The sequence below is a fragment of the Homo sapiens genome, chromosome X (genome assembly GCF_000001405.40).
Source record: "Homo sapiens chromosome X, GRCh38.p14 Primary Assembly".
NCBI classification, from domain to species: Eukaryota; Metazoa; Chordata; class Mammalia; order Primates; family Hominidae; genus Homo; species Homo sapiens.
This window is the reverse complement of record NC_000023.11, coordinates 37838243-37857055: the sequence shown is the minus strand read 5'-3', so window position 1 is coordinate 37857055 and position 18813 is coordinate 37838243. Positions and strand designations below refer to the sequence as shown.

Genomic DNA, 18813 nt, shown 5'->3' with positions numbered 1-18813 from the left:
GAGATTATTCTGGAGTTTTAAGATTTAATGAGTGCCCTGCTTTGTTTCAGACTTGAATGGGGCTCATCTTTCTTTTGGTTGATTTCTCCCTTTTGGAACAGGAATGTTTACCCAATGCCTGTACTTCCATTGTATCTTGGAAGTAAATAACTAATTTTTGATTTTACAGGCTCATAGGTGGAAGATATTTGTCTTGTCTCAGATGAGACTTTGAACTTGGGACTTTTTTGAGTGATGCTGAAAGGAGTTGAGGCTTTTGGGGGACTACTGGCGGGGATAACTGTATTTTGCAATGTGAGAAAAACATGAGCTTTGAGGGGCCAAGGGTAAAATGATACAGTTTGGATGTTGTCCACTCTAAATCTCATGTTGAACTGTAATCCCCAATGTTGTATATGGGGCCTGGTGGAAAATGTTTGCATCATGGGGGCAGATCTCTCATGGCTTGGTGCTGTCCTCAGGATAGTGTGTGAATTCACATGAGATCTGTTTATTTAAAAGTGTATGCCACCTCCCTCTCATTTTGCTCTGCTCTGGTCATGTGATGTGCCTGCTCCTGCTTCACCTTCCACCATGAGTAAAAGCTCCCTGAGGCTTCCCCAGAAACCAAGCAGATCCCAGCATCATGCCTTGTACAGCCTCTGGAACTACGAGCCAATTAAAACCTCTTTTGTTTATAAATTACCCAGCCTCAGCCTCAGGTATTTCTTTTCTTTCTTTCTTTCTTTCTTTTTTTTTTTAAGACAGAGTTTCGCTCTTGTTGCCCAGGCTGGAGTGCAATGGCACAATCTTGGCTCATTGCAACCTCCGCCTCCTAGGTTCAAGCGATTCTCCTGCCTCAGCCTCCCGAGTAGCTGGGATTACAGGCATGCATCACCATGCTCAGCTAATTTTGTATTTTTTAGTAGAGACGGGGTTTCTCCATGTTGGTCAGGCTGGTCTCGAACTCCCGACCTCAGGTGATCGGCCCACCTTGGCCTCCCAAAGTGCTGGGATTACAGGCATGAGCCACTGCGCTCCCCCAGGTATTTTTTATAGCAATGCAAAAACGGCCCAAACACCAACACAATGAGAAGATAAATGTGCAAGGTGATGGACATCCTAAATCTCCTGATTTGATCATGACACACTTTATGCATTTCTCAAAATGTCACTGTGCACCCCATAAATCTGTACAATTACTGGATATCAATTTAAAAATACATTGTCTTTGAGTTTCCACTGTTTCTATGAGAAGTCAGATTTGAATCTTCTTGTCTCACTTTTGAAGGTAATTTGTCTTTTTGGGTGAGGCAGTGATACTTTACAATTTTTCTCTTTCCTTTGGTTTTCAGCCATTTTATTGTGAGGTGCAAAAATACAGTTTTTATTCATTTTGCTTGGGGATCATAGGGATTCTTGGACCTGTGGCTTAAGATCTATGCTAAGTATTCTGTTTGTCTCTCCCCATACACAGTCCACACTCCTTCGTGCTTTGGGAAACTGACCTATATGGATTACAGTCGTTCCTATGCCCTCTAGTTTCCAGTTGGGTTCAGCTAATGAGAAACAGCAATAAGAGATCAGAGGGAAGGAGAAAGGGTCAGGATAATTATTCCCCGAGTTCCCTTTGTGGAGGCCACCTCGGGCTTGTTATATCCCTTGACAAAAGATCATTTTTCCTCTTAAAGTGGCCTTGTCAACATGACTGTTTAATCCTCTTTCCCCTCAAACTTCACAGCTTAGGAGTAGTGACAATTTCACTGTTGTTAGCCCCATGTTCTTTCACTATCACTTGCCATTAGTTCACCTGCCCACATCTTTGTAAATGAGCACTCTTCAATTTATGCCAACTTTAGTGTGCCATCTGCTTCTTCTTGGCAACTTGATTGATACAGTAACTGGTACCAGAAGTAGCATGTGATGGTTAATTTTTTGTGTCAACTTGGCTGGGCCACAATGCCCAGATATTTGGTCAAACATTATTGTGGATGTTTCTGTGAGGATGTTTTGGTTGAGTTTACATTTAAATCACCAGACTTTCAGTAAAGCAGATTGCCTTCCATAATGTGGGTGAGCCTTATCTAATCAGTTGAAGGCCTGACTAGAACGGAAGGCTGACCTCCCCAGAGCAAAAGGGAATTCTTCAGCAGATAGTCTTCAGACTTTATCTGTAACATTGGTACTTCCTTGTTCTGTATCGGGCTGCATCTGGATTCTAACTGTAACCCTTTCCTGAGCCTCCAGCCTGTTTGGTCTACCTCATCAGATTATGGACTTGCCAAGCTTCTACAATTGTGTCAGCCAATTACTTAGAATAAGTATTTTTTGATAAAATTAATGATATTCATATTTTAAAAGTGTGTATGGCAACAATTATCTTAAGCAAAATAAAAAGAGGAAAAAAACTGGGAGAAAGAATGTGTAACTCATCACAAACACAAGGATAATTTGTTATTTATAAAAAGTTCTCACAAATCAACAAGTATGAAAATGGGAAAGGGATAGGAAGAAACAGTTCAAAAAAAGGAAACTATAAGTGACTCTTAAATATCTTAAAATAAATCTCTTTATATACACACATACTCAAAATGAAATTCTGAGAATTGGTTGTTCATATACTTAAAGGAGCACACGGATAATCTTCTTACTGGGAAGAAATAGGGCATATGTAATTCATGACCACGATGTGGCATAATGATTACTCACTTTATCATCAGAGGATGTGATGCAGGTAGAGGGCAAGGCACTGGAGGTCAAGTGGCTGTAGCGCTTAATCTCTATAGCAACAAAGTTTCTTATAAAGATTGTGGAGTCACCTGGTGCTTTATTATAGCTTTAGAAAGTACAGATAGGGAAAATATAAGAGTTATAAATATGAAATGAAGAACATGAATTAAAAAACTAGAAAGTCTGGATTCAGGACTAGATCTAAAAAATAAATAAATAATAATAATAAAAAACTAGAAGACCTCCACGTCAGATTTAAGGGAGTCCCTCATATCTTAGAGCTGTACCACATCACATTGATCCATGACATTGTTGACATTAATTGGAACTGTAATCACAGAGTCCCTGGAAATATAGTAGATGTAGAGCACAAAATGTGCTGCTTGACATATAGAGGAGGTGCATCATCTATTATAGCATTTAAGTTGGTCACACAACCACCTGCAATCAAAAACATTAGCTATGATCAGTGGAGGTAAAAGGGAGAGGGGATGAAGTAACACAGAATAGTTGCTATAGTCCTTGCCTCTGTAGCTGGGCAAGTGGATGGATATTGATGGAGAAAAGTGATAGGCTATACTGGATTCCTGAACCTATTCCTTATAGATCTGCTATATCCACCATCCCAGCACACAGCATTGTAAATAAATCCTCCCTGAATTAATATTTTGGGAGTTTCATCTGCTTCCTACAGAGACTCTGACTAATATGTTCTTTCATCAGTTTTGGAAGACCTTCAGCTAATATTTCATTAAATATTGTTTCTGTCCATTCTGTCTCATCTCCTTCTGGAAATCTCACTATGTATGTTAAACTTTCTCATGGTATTACTTTTGTCTGTATGCTTTCTTCTGTATTTTACATTAATTTATGTCTCTGTGCTTTACTCTGGCTATTTTATTCTGTCCATTTTTTTTTTTCTGAGAGAAAGTCTCACTCTGTCACACAGGCTTGAGTGCAGTGGCATGATCTCAGCTCACTGCAAGCTCTGCCTCCTGGGTTCAAGCCATTCTCCCGCCTCAGCATCCCGAGTAGCTGGGACTACAGGTGCCCACCACCACGCCTGGCTAATTTTTTTGTATTTTTAGTAGAGACGGGATTTCACCATGTTAGTCAGGATGGTCTCGATCTCCTAACCTCATGATCTGCCCCCCTTGGCCTCCCAAAGTGCTCGGATTATAGGCGTGAGCCACTGCGCCCCGGTCTATTCTGTCCAATTTTTTAAGCTTCACTTAATCTTCAGCTTTGTAGGAACCACTATAGAATCGATTCTTTGTTCTTTTTAAAAAATTGGTTACTGTATTTTCTACTTCTAGAAATTCCATTTGTATACTTTTTATAATTTCAAGTTATTGGATGAAATTCTCAACCCTGTCTTTTATCTCTTTTAATATAGTAAGCATAGTTATTTTAAAGTCTATTTCTGATAACTCCATCATCTTCATCCCTGATTGGGCTGTTTCCATTGTCTTTTGATTTAAGATAATGTTGTTTTGTCTCGTTATGTGTCTAGTTATATTTTATTGTCCACTTGATGTATGCAAAAAATCATATGTCTGATTTGAGACCTAAGATAATGTTTTCTTCCTTCAGAGAGAATTTACATTGGCTTCTAGAAGTTGGCTAGAGGCATTAGCAATTCCGGATCACCTTAATTCAATTTTAGGGGTTTGGGTAATTTAAAACTGAGATTCAGTCTGCAAGATCAAGTTTGAGTGTTTCACTCCCAGGGTTTAATCCATGGGGTTTCAACCCAAAGCAAGACTGTTTACCAGAATCATCTTCCTTGGCAGGACATGCAGTCTGATTATTTTACCCCTTGGCCCATAAGCAAAAGGCTTAACATCTTCTCACCTCGAGGTAAAAAGTTATCCCAAATGCCATGCTCATCTTTCTGGGTTTCATTATTCTATGTCTTAGATCCATAATTCTTCCCTATCTTGTTAAAAAATCCAATTCCCTTGAGCAAATGTCTATTATATTTTGTCCAACCTTTGTAATTATCAGTGAAAGAGATGGTCCTAATTACATAGTCTACCATTACAGAAGTCTTTAAATATAATTTTAGTGGTTTGTAAAGTGGGTCCAAATGTTTTTTATCAGCTGCTTCTATGGCAAACCTTTCTAGACAATATAATTTATTCATATTTAGGGAAAATTAATTATTAAAAACTCATTAACAGGAATTGCTTATGGCTGTTCAATGCGTAGAGCCAGATATAAAATATTATATGGGTGAAACCAAGATTGAGGGTCTCACTAAAGCATTGAAAGAGGTTTTATTTGGAAGCTTTAAAAAATTCAATTTTAACACCCTTTCTATTTTATTTTTTCATATAATTATATAAAGTAATGAAAATATTTTTTCACCAAGCCCCATACAGATGCCCACCAAGCCCCTCCAGTTTACCTCAATGTACCATGTAAGTATTATCCTCTATGTGGGCCATAGCATGGAAAAGTTTGGAAAGGACTGACCTACCAACATTTACTTTATATCAATTTTTTTTTTCTTGCTGGCAGAACTCACTTTTCACCATACAGAATGAAAAAACAAACATTTGTTGTCCCATATGTTTTGCCCGGTGGGGAGTCACGTGGCCCAATCTTGGCCACTGGAACCTGAGGAGAAAACTCCTGAGGACTTGAAATAAAGATTTTCTTTCCTAAGAAAATCCGATCAACCCCAGAAAATGCTCATCTTAGTCACTGAACGTGATATCTTTGTTCCTAGCGATACCAGAACTAATGCAGCCGTGTATGACCATGAGGCTAAATGTTGCTGACATGCTGAGGATATTGGCATGGAAAGATGAAAAGCACAGAAGCCCCAAAATTTGTTGAGCAACTAAACGAACCTGGAATATCTCTGCCTCTGTATGTCTGTGTATTAGTCTATTCTCTCATTGCTTTACAGCAATGAGAAATACCTGAGACTGGATAATTTATGAAGTAAAGAGGCTTAGTTGGCTCGTGGTTCTGCAAGCTGCACAGGAAGCAGAGTGACTCCTGCTTCTGGGGAGGCCTCAGGAAACTTACAATCATGGTGGAAGGTGAAGGGGAAGCAGGCACATATTACATGGCTAGAACAGGAAGAAGAGAGAGAGGAGGGAGGTGCTACACACTTTTAAGCAGCCAGATCTCATAATAACTCACTCACTTACTCTCACAAGAACAGCACTGAGGGGATGGTGCTACCCATCATGAGAAATCTGCCTCCATGATCCAATCACCTCCCACCAGGCTCCACCTCCAACACTGGGGATTACAATTCAACATGAGATTTGCTGGGGACAGATCCAAACCATATCAGTCTGGTTATATAAAAAAATAAATGCCATTATTTCAGCTCATCCTATTTGGGTCTTCTGTTACTTGCAACCACAGGATGCTAGTTAATAAACCCACTTGTAGTTTTAAAGCATGAGCCCCAAATTATTTGACACTTCTCCCATTGAGAAGTGGATTATGTGTCCCCTCCCCTTGAATCTGAGTGAATGTTTCAATGATTAGAGTATGGTAGAAGGGCTGCTGTGTAACTCGTGACACTAGGTGATAAAAGGTGACATATCTTCTGCCATGCTCGATGGAACCCTCATGCTTGGAGCCTTGAGTTGCCATGTAAAAGATCTGGCTACCCTAAGGTTGCCATGATGGTAAGAAGCCAATCCACTCGGTGGGGCCATGTGTTGTTGCTCCAGTTGGAAGTGCTAATATTTTATTCATCCAAGCCCAGATATCAGACATGTGAATGAACAAGTCTTCAGATGATTCTGGTCCCCACCATTGAATTTCCTCCAGTCTTTGAGTCTCCCCACCTGAGGCCCCAGACATCACAGAGCAGAGGCAAATTATTTCTGCTGTGCCTTGTTCAAATTTCTGACTAAACGAATCCATGAGCATAATATAGTAAATAAGCTGCTAAATTCTGGGGTAATTTATTACACAGGAATGGTAACTGGAACAACACTTCTTCATCTCACTTTATATGCATCATGAATGATCACATAACACAAACTTGAGATGTGCTGGTGTAGCTCTTGCAGTATTAAGATTAGGTAACTTCAGGGTTTAACCCACCCAGGCATAGAAACAGTTCTTTAGGGAAATAAAACTGATGTTCACAAAGACACTACGAATCCTTCTCATGAATAGACTGCCGGAGTTGCTCATAGGATGAAAACTTTGGTAAAAAAAATTCTTGAAAGAGGATGTGCTTCCTCTATGAATTACAGTCACTTTTCTGCAGTAACCCTGCATGATCCACAACTTAGGAGAACCAATAACAAACACCATACTATCAAGTAAACAGCCTTGTTTGGTTCTAAGTTCATAAAATAAGAGCCTGAGGTTCAGAAGCCCAGGAGTCCAGTTAACACCTATGTGCCCTGTAGAAGTTACTTTATCTTCTCAGCTTCAGTTTTACTTGTAAAATAAGGGAGATGGACTAGAAGACTAATGGTTTCCAACTTTGATTCTGGGGAGCAAAATAGAAAAGTGTTGTGGTTGGCTGAATAATGCTCCCCCTCAAATTTGTCCACATCTGAATTCTGAGAATCTGTGAATATGATACAGAGTGCAAAAGACACATGGCATATGTGATTAAGTTAAGGGTCTTGAGAGGGAAACAGGAGGGCAAGAGTCATACATCTCTCGTTTATAGAGATGCCTCACACTTCCTTTGAAGCAGAAGCGAGAGAGGAGAAAAGATACTACTGGCTTTGAATTTGGAGGAAGGGGTCATGAGCCAAGGAATGCAGGCAATCTCTAGAAGCTGGAAAAGGCAAAGAAACAGAGTCTGTCTTGGAGCCTCCAGAAGGCATGCAGCTCTATGGGCCCATTTTAGACTTCTGACCTCCAGAACTGAGGCAGGAGAATAGGGTCAGGAGGCAGGGAACTTAAAACTGTTTCACGCTTACTTCATAGAACTAAATTGAAAGGAAAACCCTGGCCAGGCACAGTGGCTCACGCCTGTAATCCCAGCACTTTGGGAGGCTGAGGCAGGCAGATCACTTGAGGTCGATGAAGTCGGGAGTTCGAAACCAACCTGACCAACATGGAGAAACCCCGTCTCTACTAAAAATACAAAATTAGCTGGGCGTGGTGGTGCATGCCTGTAATCTCAGCTACTCAGAAGGCTGAGGCAGGAGAATCGCTTGAACCCGAGAGGCGGAGGTTGCCGTGGGTGAGCCGAGATCGCGCCATTGCACTCCGGCCTGGGCAGCAAGAGTGAAACTCCGTCTCAAAAAAAAAAAAAAAAGGAAAACCCTAACCTTCCATACCTTCCATGCCTAAGTAACAAAAGGACCAGAGGCTATTCCCTTTGCAAATCCCCACCTTTTCTGCAGGGCAGATGGGAAATTTAAAGTACCTCTGATTGGTTGCTTTTTGCAACCAAAGAGCAAAAAGCAACCAATCAGACATTTGCACAGGAGTGGAACTTTGTAACTTCACTTCAGCCTCTGATTGGTTGCTGTCTGCAACCAATCAAACTGATTATGGGCCAAATCTTTGTTTGAATAGAAGTGCAACTTTGTAACTTCACTTTAGCCTCTGATGGTTGCTTTCTTGCAACCAATCAGACGTTTGCATAGGAGTGTGGCCTTTGTAACTTCAGCCTCTGATTGTGGGCCACTACTTCATTTACATGGGGTGCACACCAAGTGGCCAATGGGAAATCTCTAGGGGGTATTTGGACCAGAGAAGATTCTGGATCCCGGCCCTTGAGCGGCTTCTCTGCCCGCTCCCACCCTGTAGAGTGTACTTTCGTTTTCAATAAATCTCTGCTTTTGTTGCTTCATTCTTTCCTTGCTTTGTTTGTGCGTTTTGTCCAATTCTTTGTTCAAAGAGCCAAGAACCTGGACACCCTACACTGGTAACAGAACTGTAAGAGAACAGGACTGTGTTTCTTTAAGGCACTACATTTACGGTAATTTGTTACAGTAGCAATAGGAAAGTAATACAGTGGTTAAGAGCTTGGGCTCTGCTATCAGACTACTTGAGCTCAAGTCCCTTTTCTACACCCTACTGGCTGTATGACCTTGGGCAAATTAAATTCTCTATACCTCAGTTTCATCTTGATAAAAGCAGTGATGGAAGAACTAACTCCTCTGACTTATTGTGAGGTTTTGAGGAAGTGTCTAGGATCATCTGGAAATTAGTAATTTATTTTAAAATTACTAATTTAAAATTACTACATTTATTTTAAAATTACTAATTTAAAATTACTACATTTATTTTAAAATGTAGTCATTGTTCTCTTGTTGAGAAGCATCTACTTTAGGAGCCGTGTATACAGCTTCTCATCAGATCCTTACAACCAGTAGTGAAATAGGTATGATGGTAAGTTTCCATATGAGAAAACTGAAGCTGTGGGAGGTGAATTTTTCCAAGTAACATAGCTAGTAAGTGGACAAATCAAAGTGGCTGGTTTACCACGAAATTAACTACATTTATGTGCCACATGATGGTGAATGAACAAATACGTGCAAGTAATCACAGCAGTGGGCACTCAACCACTAGTGCGGAGTCTAGACTAACTGCCACTAGGTCACCCCATCTGATCCACACTGGCGCCATTCCCAGTTCTTTACATTCATCCCTTGTTTCCAGAAAGGGCAGAGGAAGCGAGGAAAAAGTGCGTGGCCTGAAGTGACGCCTGGCGTTGCCCGAAGCCCGCCCAGCGCTGCCAGGTGACGCCACTGCGACACAAAGGCGGGGATTGCGTAGGGAAAGGCCCTAGGCCATAAACGGGGGTGGGGCCTCCCCGGAGGCCAGTGCGCGGCCGCGGTGCTCTACCGGCGTGTCGCTCCGCCCCAGGGAGAGCCGGCGCTACCATGGAGGAGTACCATCGCCACTGCGACGAGGTACCGCCCCTTGGCTACCTGGGAGCGCCCCCCACTCCCGCCTTCCTCTGCGCGGGGCTCTTGCCGGGTGGTCTCCCAGCGAGGGCGGTCCCAAGAGTTGGGGTGCGGCGTCCTCCGAGCCCGGGTCCTCTCCCCTGGGCCCGGGATCCGCCCCGCCCGACCCGTTCTCCCCACCCCAAAGTCCTGAGATTCGGGGTGGGAGGGGTGGCCAGGAGCGCGCGGATCAGACGGTGGGGTCGGGGCAGGGTTGGGAGGACGAGGCCTGACTTGGGTGCGAGGAGTGGGCATGGGGTGACGGGCGCCGCCCTCCTACCGGGCGGGCCTCGAAAACGGGTCTTCCCGCTGCTGCCTCCGTCCCTTGGCTTCCTCAGCGCGGGTGCTGCAGCCCCCATGGCTCGGAGTCTCGGGGTCCTGGTGGCACTGCCATTCCCGCTCCCGGTAATGCTTGCCAGGATTAGGCAAGGAGGTGCTTTATGGATTACGAGCCCTTGCTTACTGACTCAGGCTTTCCCAACCCTCACCAGAAACCCATGATGTCAGTTGTTATCTCCCTGTTATTGATGGGGACTCCAAAGAAAAGACTAAGTTGTCAGACCACTTTATAGTACTAAAGTGATATTAATCTTGAGTTATCAAGTATTTTCATAATCTTTAATTTGGGAAAGGAATTTTTGCCTAGAAATTTTTGCCTAGCATAAGTTAAAAACAAAATTGAAAATAGTCTACTAAGCATTCTCTTCATATGGACCACTTCATTCTCTCACTTAGCTGAAACCATTTCTATATTCTTATGACACATAACATCCTCATAGTCACCTCTTGCTTATTTCCTACGTTTTACAATACAATGATTCTTAATCTAGGATGTTCATTAGAATCACCAGTATAAAGCACTTTTTTAAAAAAAAATGTAGACTTGCAGGCTCTGCCCCAGACCTCACGGGAGGTAGGTAGGGAAAGCATTCAGTATTTTTAAGTGTTTAGGGGCAAGATTGGCCCCTTCTGTAGACCTGATGCCCTTTAACACTTTAACACCTGTCTAGGCCAGCCTAGGATATTCTGTGTAGCGTCATACTTGTAAGCCTGTGTTGAAAGCAGCTTTACCTTTTGTTTTCCCTTTAGGTTGGCTTCAATGCTGAGGAAGCCCACAATATTGTCAAAGAGGTGAGTCATACATTTTGTTTCTCTTGAAGCTTGCTGCACTGGTGGAGATTTTTAAAAGCTATATTTTGAGTTTCAGCACAAACTTAGAAACCTTACTGTTAAAAGAAGAATATTTTGTTTTGTTTTATTTTATTTTATTGTTTTTTGAGATGGAGTCTCGCTCTGTCACCCATGCTGGAGAACAGTGGTGTGATCTCAGCTCACTGCAACCTCCACCTCCTGGGTTCAAGCAATTCTCCTGTCTCAGCCTCCCGAGTAGCTGGGTCTACAGGCGCCCGCCACCACACCCATCCAATTTTTGTATTTTTAGTAGAGACGGGGTTTCACCTTATTGGTCAGGCTGGTTTCGAATTCCTGACCTCCGGTGATCCACCCGCCTTGGCCTCCCAAAGTGCTGGGATTGCAGGCGTGAACCACCACACCCGGCCAAGAACAAGATTTTAAATATTTATCCACTAACTCTTTATAGGGGTCCTTCTATATTTTGTTGTGTGCTATCAGCATCTTGAGGCTTATTCTGAAAGAGATGCTTAAGGATTTTCTTAGTCTAGAAAACTGGTTTAAAATTGATGCCCTGTCTTTTGGATAAAATAACTTTTATTCCAGAAAGCAAACATTATTTTAAATGTTAATGCTATAAAGTATATGTACGCATATATATGTACACACGTCAACTTTTATAATGTAAAGTATATGTATAATATATATGTATATTGTATAAAATAGATAACAAAAGCCCTAGAAATATCTGCCTTTGGGCATGTACACTTTTTTGCCCAATATAATTGGAAAAAATGATCATTTAACATATTTTAAGCATTGATATGATAGTGAATCAAAATTTTAAGAAAAATATTTGAAACTCCTTTTAGGCAAATAGAAAAGAAATTACCTTTGGGAATTAATTCTGGCAGGGGACCGTTCATTATTTTAGAGGTATCACATACAGACCACAGTGTGGGAAAGGTATTTTTTGACACCCAGGTCTGGCCTTACACAGCTAGAATTAACTCAAGGTCTGAGAGGAATAGACAGGCACCTGAAAATCCTGCCATATTTGAATACTTCAGAATTATGCATTCTATCTATGTAGCCTGAGAGTATTTAATTATTAAAAGTAGAAAGCAAAGGTTTTTAATACCTTTACAATGTAAAAGCACAAATGAGGGAAACTGGGAGGTGGAAGAGGGAGTGGAGGTAATGAGAAGGGAGTGATCTTAGTTTTCAAAGTGGCAAGTCAGGAAAGACTGTCCTTGGTTGATGGAACATAAAAGAAAGAATGCTGGGCTATTTGGGATTCCATTTAAATAGTGCCTTCTTCCTTAAGTTCTGAACCAAATGAAAAGAAAAAAGAGCCATTAGAAAGAGAACAAAATACCACCTTTATTATTGATAAAAACCAGTTTGATGATTGTACCTTGTTTTGCTAACTCCCATTCAGTTCAGCCCTGGGAAGAGTCATCCAAGAGAAAGTTTGAGTCAGCAGAGAGAAACACTTGTTCAGGCTGGTGCCTTTCATTGGTTTGGGTGGAGAGGGAAGGAGAAACTAAAGCCCAAGTTCAACACATTTGGGAGACTCCCAAATGAGATGTTAGAACAATGGTTATCACCCACCAACCAGGTAACTCATTCCACCTCCATGGGGAGGAATAACTGACAGGACAAGAGGCCAGGAATGTTAAAGAACAATCCTCTGCGTTGAAGAAAACATCCAGAGTGGAAAAGAAACATGTTTCTAACAGTGTAAATATATTTAAGTTAAAAAATCGTGATTTCACTATATTGAGAGAAGGGGGCGGGTGGTCTGAGGGAACCAAATTTTCATCTATCATAGTAGGAGTTACATGGATGTTGCCTATAATTCATAAATCAGGAAATAGTGAGATAAACATTATTTGGAGATACATAAGTAACCCTTGGAAGAAATAAAAACAGTTGTACACTGATGAGTTTCCTCTGGGGAATGGGACTGGGGATGGGAAAGGAAAGGGTGGGAAGGAAACTCTTCATTCTAAGCTTTTCTGTTCTACTGGATTTTTCAAACCATATGCCTGTTACTTTAATATTATATCAAATTAAAAGAATCATGCTTTTTCAACTGGGAAATACATACTCGGCAGTGGCTAGGTGGTGCTAGAAGTCACTGGATGCATTTTAGAACATCAGTTTTTCTTGAATATTTGTGAGAGGGAGTTAAGTAATATAAATAATATAACTGAAAACATTTTTGAATAAAAACAAACTCTGATGCATTATGTAGTCAAAACAAGCTTCTCTTGAATTTTTATATGAAATATGAGACTGCAAAGAAACTCAGCTTTGCTACAGGTTACTTGCAGCTAAATGTCTATCTTTCCTCTTCCCATGAACCAACCCTCTTCTGCCATTGAAACATTTCCATTGAGACATTGGAAATGCCTGAGAATGAGCAACATTTTAAAACAGTTTAGCACTTCCTAGATGATTACATAATTTCAGCAGTTATTTCTGATTTCCTTACTGATCTTATTTTCTTATTGATCTTATTTTCTTTCCTTTGATTTCTTGCTCTGAGCCCCTATGCTAATATGTTTTTCCTTCTGAACTCAGAGACACCCATTTATCAGTAATATGCATACATTTTCTTTAGTGTTAGTAATAGAAATTGCTTCCCCAAAAAATCGTCGAAGAAAAAGTGAGCTACAAATGACTTAGAATTTAGTCTAAAGTGTATTTGATTTAAGATACCCAGCGAGTATATCAAAACCAATATTGCTTCAACAACATTTGTTGAATACCTGCTAAGTGCCCAGGTCCTGAGTTTAGCACTGAGAATACAGAGCTGTTTAAGGACCTCATTGTCTCATGGGCCTCCATGTTAATGTAATTAATTAGGCTAGATGTTAATTAATAGTAATTAGCAGGGCTATTTACAGTGGCACCCACACCCCATGGTGTTTTCTGCTGTTTAGAGCAAAACTTGGAGTGGTCCTACTAAATAACCTGAAAGAAAAATGAGTGCTCTTACTTTATCCTTAAGGAAAGGTGATCTCAAGAGAGGAATAGGTTTGTCCAAAGGTCACCAGCTTAGGAATGGTAAAGCCAGAATTAAAATTCTATTCCCCTGATCCTTAAGCCACTACCCTTCCTACTTTGTCATGTTATTGAGCTTTCTAGGAGAAAAATTTGAGCCATATTACTTTTGTCAACCTTGCTAAAATATTTCATTTCTCTTTTCATATTTTATCATTAGTGAAGATTTTATACTATCCAACTTAAGATTTTGTATTAGTGCCTTCATAAATCTTTACTGTGGTCTAATTATAGTAAATAAAGCTGCATGTGTGTGTATGTGTGTATTATTAAGCTAGATTCTAAAAATGAATTAAATGAGTCTAATGATAGTAAATGAAGCTGCATGTGTGTGTTAGATTCTAAAAATGAATTAAATGAGTGCTTTATTATCCAGGCTTTATCACTCAAATATAAAATATAACAGCAGCAATATGATAATAGTAGTTAACATTATTTATATGCTAACTCTGTGCTAGTCCTGTTTGAGCACTTGGTATTCATTGTCTCATTTCATCCTAACAACAACCTGATAAGATGATGCTGTTATCCTTACTATAAGGATTAGGAAAATAGGGATTTGAAGGGGTTAAGTCACTTGCTAAAGGTCACATAGCAGATAGGTGTCAAAGTAGGCCTTAAAACCTAGGATTGTGATACTAGAGCCAGTGCTTTTAATCAGGTGTCAGAAGTGGATGAAATCAAGCACTATGGGAAATTATGATATTTGACTTTATCTTTCTAGAGCATCTTTATTTACTTTCAGTGGCAAGTGTGCTAGTTGTTTCATAGCTAAACAATCACATAGTATGAATGAGAATATAATCAGTTGTTGTTTCATAGCTAAACAATCACATAGTATGAATGAGAATATAATTAGTATACATAAGAATTATGTTTTTAAATTAGTCCCATCCTGTTTCTAGCATGTGAGCCCTAGTTCAAATCCCAGCTGTTTCAAAGCTACTTGTTAACCAATTGATAGCACCTTTTAATTTCCCCACCATAATTTTTATGACATAATTTATCATTAGTCTTCCTTGTGTTATAGATATTCGAATTTTTTTATTAGCTTCTCTGCTAGATTAAGTTATTTACACAGAAGCCATGACATATTTATCTTTATATGGCCCATAGTATCTCATAGAGTGAGATAATGCAAGTGGAAACTCTTTCAAAACTCTTAAGCAATTAGAGACAGTGCATAATCAATGTTTACCAAGTGTATATTTTCTAAGATGCCTTATTGAGCTATAAGTATATTTTATGTTTTGAATAAATTTTTACTGCAATTTGTGTAAAAATTGTTCTTTTTGAACAATTTTACTGACTAAATTAACTGCCCTCTGTGCCCTTTTAGTGTGTAGATGGGGTTTTAGGTGGTGAAGATTATAATCACAACAACATCAACCAGTGGACTGCAAGCATAGTGGAACAATCCTTAACACACCTGGTTAAGTTGGGAAAAGCCTATAAATATATTGGTAAGTATCAGTATCCTTCCTCACTAGTTCACTTGCTTTTGTCATTGTGATTTTCTCTGAATTTTGAGAAGGTATATGTACAATAGACATTTAAGTTGGATACTAAAAGGGTATAAAGGACTTCTGATTTACTCATTCAAAGATAATCTATAATAATACTTAAAAGATGAAGATCTTTCACTACTCAAAGGCAGTTTGAGCTACTTTTCTTTGGTAGCATCACCCTTTGCATTTCCATCAGTTCTTTCTTTCCACTGAGACCCCCCCTTAGCTCAACTGTGTTTCTTTCGGTAGTCCCATGCCTCTTTACCTGTAATTCCACACAGCAACTGTTTATAAAGTGGAGTATTTCCTGCATTTCTGTGTCTGAATTCTGCCCATGGTACAAAGCACAGAATTTGACTGATATTTTTCCTGCAATACAATCACCAATGGTAATGACAATGGTCAGAAAACCAACTGAATCCAGTGGGGTCAAAATCATGATGGTAGATAAAGATGAGAGTCTTTTATTTTTTTTTCAATCTATTTGCTGAACGCTTTGTTTTCTGTTTTTTGTTTGTTTGTTTGTTTTTTGTCTTGTTTTCGGCTTGTAGAGCTCTGAACTCACACACTTTGACCTTGGTTCTCTTTTCCTTTGTCTGTAAGTGCCCTCATTCTGTGACTTTATTTGCAGTGACCTGTGCAGTGGTCCAGAAGAGCGCATATGGCTTTCACACAGCCAGCTCCTGTTTTTGGGATACCACATCTGATGGTAAGAGATCTTAAGCTGATTTACACAAAATCCAACTTTTAGCAAAGTCAAACTGCACTTTTTAACCAAGTACTTATTTAATTCTGATTAAATTCTGAAAAGACTATCAACAGTATTGCTTTGTACCTAGTAACAAGTATACCTTCAGACCGATATGAAATGTGAAAACTTAACAGGTTGAAGGAAATAAGATATTAAAACATGTGAAAAATGTATGTGTATATATATATATATATATGTGTGTGTGTGTGTGTGTGTGTGTGTGTGTGTGTGTGTATATGTGTGTGTGTGTGTGTGTGTGTGTATATATATATATATATTCTCTGATAATTTTTATGTTTTGCTGGTATTTCAAAATCCTTTTTTTGTGTTTCAGGAACCTGTACCGTAAGATGGGAGAACCGGACCATGAACTGTATTGTCAACGTTTTTGCCATTGCTATTGTTCTTTAACTGACTAAAAATGTTGGGCTAAAGCCATTAACTTAAGAATTTGTCAGTGTATCCTTTCCAAAAAGAGTAATAGTTGTTTACTAGTGTGCTAGATGAAAAGCGTGCAATATGCTTTAAAGCTATCAACAAAAACTGAATATTATAAGCAAGCAATATCATAGTAATTGGCAGATTAGCTCATATTCTATACAGCATCGTTTAAATAGGAAAAATTTAATGCTAGCAAAAAATAAATTTAGAAATATGGCATGACATGAAAATACAATCTTATATTTACACCAGCTTTTCACTAATATTTTGTACCTAAGGTGATGGGGAACTCCATTCAGATAATAAAATTCTCTTTCAGCTAGAGAAGTTAACAGGAATAAATATATGAACAAAAAAGCTGCAAGGATAAATGTGGAGAAAATGATGAGAATTAGCTAACATTTTTAAGTTTTTTTAAACTTTCTTCCCCTCAGTTGTACTTAATATTTAGTGGAAAGTAATAATTTTTTTAATTTTCTATCAACTAATAGTATAGTAACAACTATGATTAACTTGTTTACTTTTTCTGAGGATTAGTAAATCAATTTTTTTTAATTTCAAATTTTTGGATTTACACTTGAGGGTAAATTAAATCTGGTAAACTGAATTTCCTAGTTAAATAAAATTAGTTGCAGTATATGATGAACAGTGTATGACTCAAACAGCTGCCTTACAATTCACTCATTCCATGTGGAACAAACATTTATCAGATGCCTATTATGGGCATATGTCTCTGCTAAGCACCATAGTTGTCAATGTGCTGTGCAAATGCTAAGTTCCTTTTAGCAATTGTTCAGTTGGAAGACGTATTAATATTTGGGGAAGGAAAAGAAAGTAGTTGTTTTACAAGGGAGGAAAAAAGTGAATCTGGTTACACATATGGAAGTAAGCAAAATGAAAAGCACTTATTGCTTTCTGACAGAATTATAGATGTAATTTTAAGAGTTGCTCCTAGCAAGTTAAAAGTGCATATAAAATATGCAACTCTTAGTTAAAGGCCTTATTATCAGTCTTACCTATACAAGTAGTAAATTTTGTCATTGCTTTAGTTACAACCATCTGTAAATAACTTAAAAGACTTATTATGTGGGGTTCAAATTGAGTGGAATAAAGTATAGATTAAAAGTATACAATCCTTAGCACGTTATCTCAGGGCTTATGAAATGTAATTAAATTTATTAAGAAAATAGATGAAAAATTAGGGTACACAGCTGGCCACCAAATGCGAAGTCAATCTGCTACTTAACCCTGAAAACAAAATCAGTTTTGCATATTACCACTAACACTAATACATATAGAGAGCGGAACCATAACTCATTGAATTTTGGAGAGGAATAAGCTTAGCGTTAATATTGACAATATTAAGGCAATATTCTTGTAGGAATACTATGTGCATGTTTGATATTTTGCCAAATAACAATAATTAATAATTGTTCAATGTTTAAGAATAATATTAACAAAATAAAGGAGTTTAATGCAGTGATCTTTGTTTTTGGCACATCAAAAATTCTCAGTCATTATTCATGTTTCTTTATGCTGCTGGCTTTTGTGCCCTGGAAGATCATAATAGTGACCAAAATATACATGCAGACTTGTTTTTTATTATTGTTGTTTAAGCATAATTTAAGAAAAAAAATTTTTACCTGGTGAACTTGCTATCTGCTCTGTTTCTAGTTAAAATATAATAAATATTATCTTCCTGTGCTGTACTTTTGCTTCTGGATAATCATTTAATAGTTAGAGAAATGACATTCTGCTTGCTCTTAGAAATTCTAAATAGAAGAAATGCTGGGGGTGGTGGCTCACACCTGTGTAATCCCAGCACTTTGGGAGGCAGGTGGATCATTTGAGGTCAGGAGTTTGAGACAAGCTTGGCCAACACGGTGAGACCGCATCTCTCTTAAAAATACAAAAATTAGCCAGGCGTGGTGGCACACATCTCTAATCCCAGCTACTCAGGAGGCTGAGGCAGGAGAATTGCTTGAACCCGGGAGGCGGAGATCGCAGTGAGCCGAGATCGTGCCACTGCACTCCAACCTGGGCAACAAAACAAGATGCCGTCTCAAAAAAAAAAAAAAAGAAAAAAGAAAGCAATTCTAAATAGGATAAATGAATATGGGACCACATAGATATATTATGCATATTATGCAGAATAAATACCATTAAAATAGCAGCCCAAATCCAGTATTTACCATTACAACATAATTAATAGCTTCTATTTTATGCTTTTTATTTTATGATTTTAACACAAAATTTCATTTTCAAAAATCAGTGTAAAAATATATTCTGTAACTACTAGTTT

General features: G+C 38.9%; 1 protein-coding gene across 1 annotated transcript, besides 1 other annotated feature; it reads left to right on the top strand.

The window, feature by feature from the left end:
• Positions 9485–18220, top strand: DYNLT3 (dynein light chain Tctex-type 3). The gene is made up of 5 exons (NM_006520.3): positions 9485–9575; positions 10698–10739; positions 15151–15274; positions 15951–16028; positions 16405–18220. The coding sequence occupies exons 1-5, from the start codon at positions 9546–9548 to the stop codon at positions 16479–16481; spliced, it is 351 nt and encodes a 116-aa protein (NP_006511.1). The 5' UTR covers positions 9485–9545; the 3' UTR covers positions 16482–18220.
• Positions 9712–9821: a silencer, noted in NCBI's record as "silent region_20733". NCBI's record gives its function as "represses an Ori minimal core promoter by ATAC-STARR-seq in GM12878 lymphoblastoid cells {active_cell/tissue: GM12878}" and the evidence as "EXISTENCE:reporter gene assay evidence [ECO:0000049][PMID:35858748]".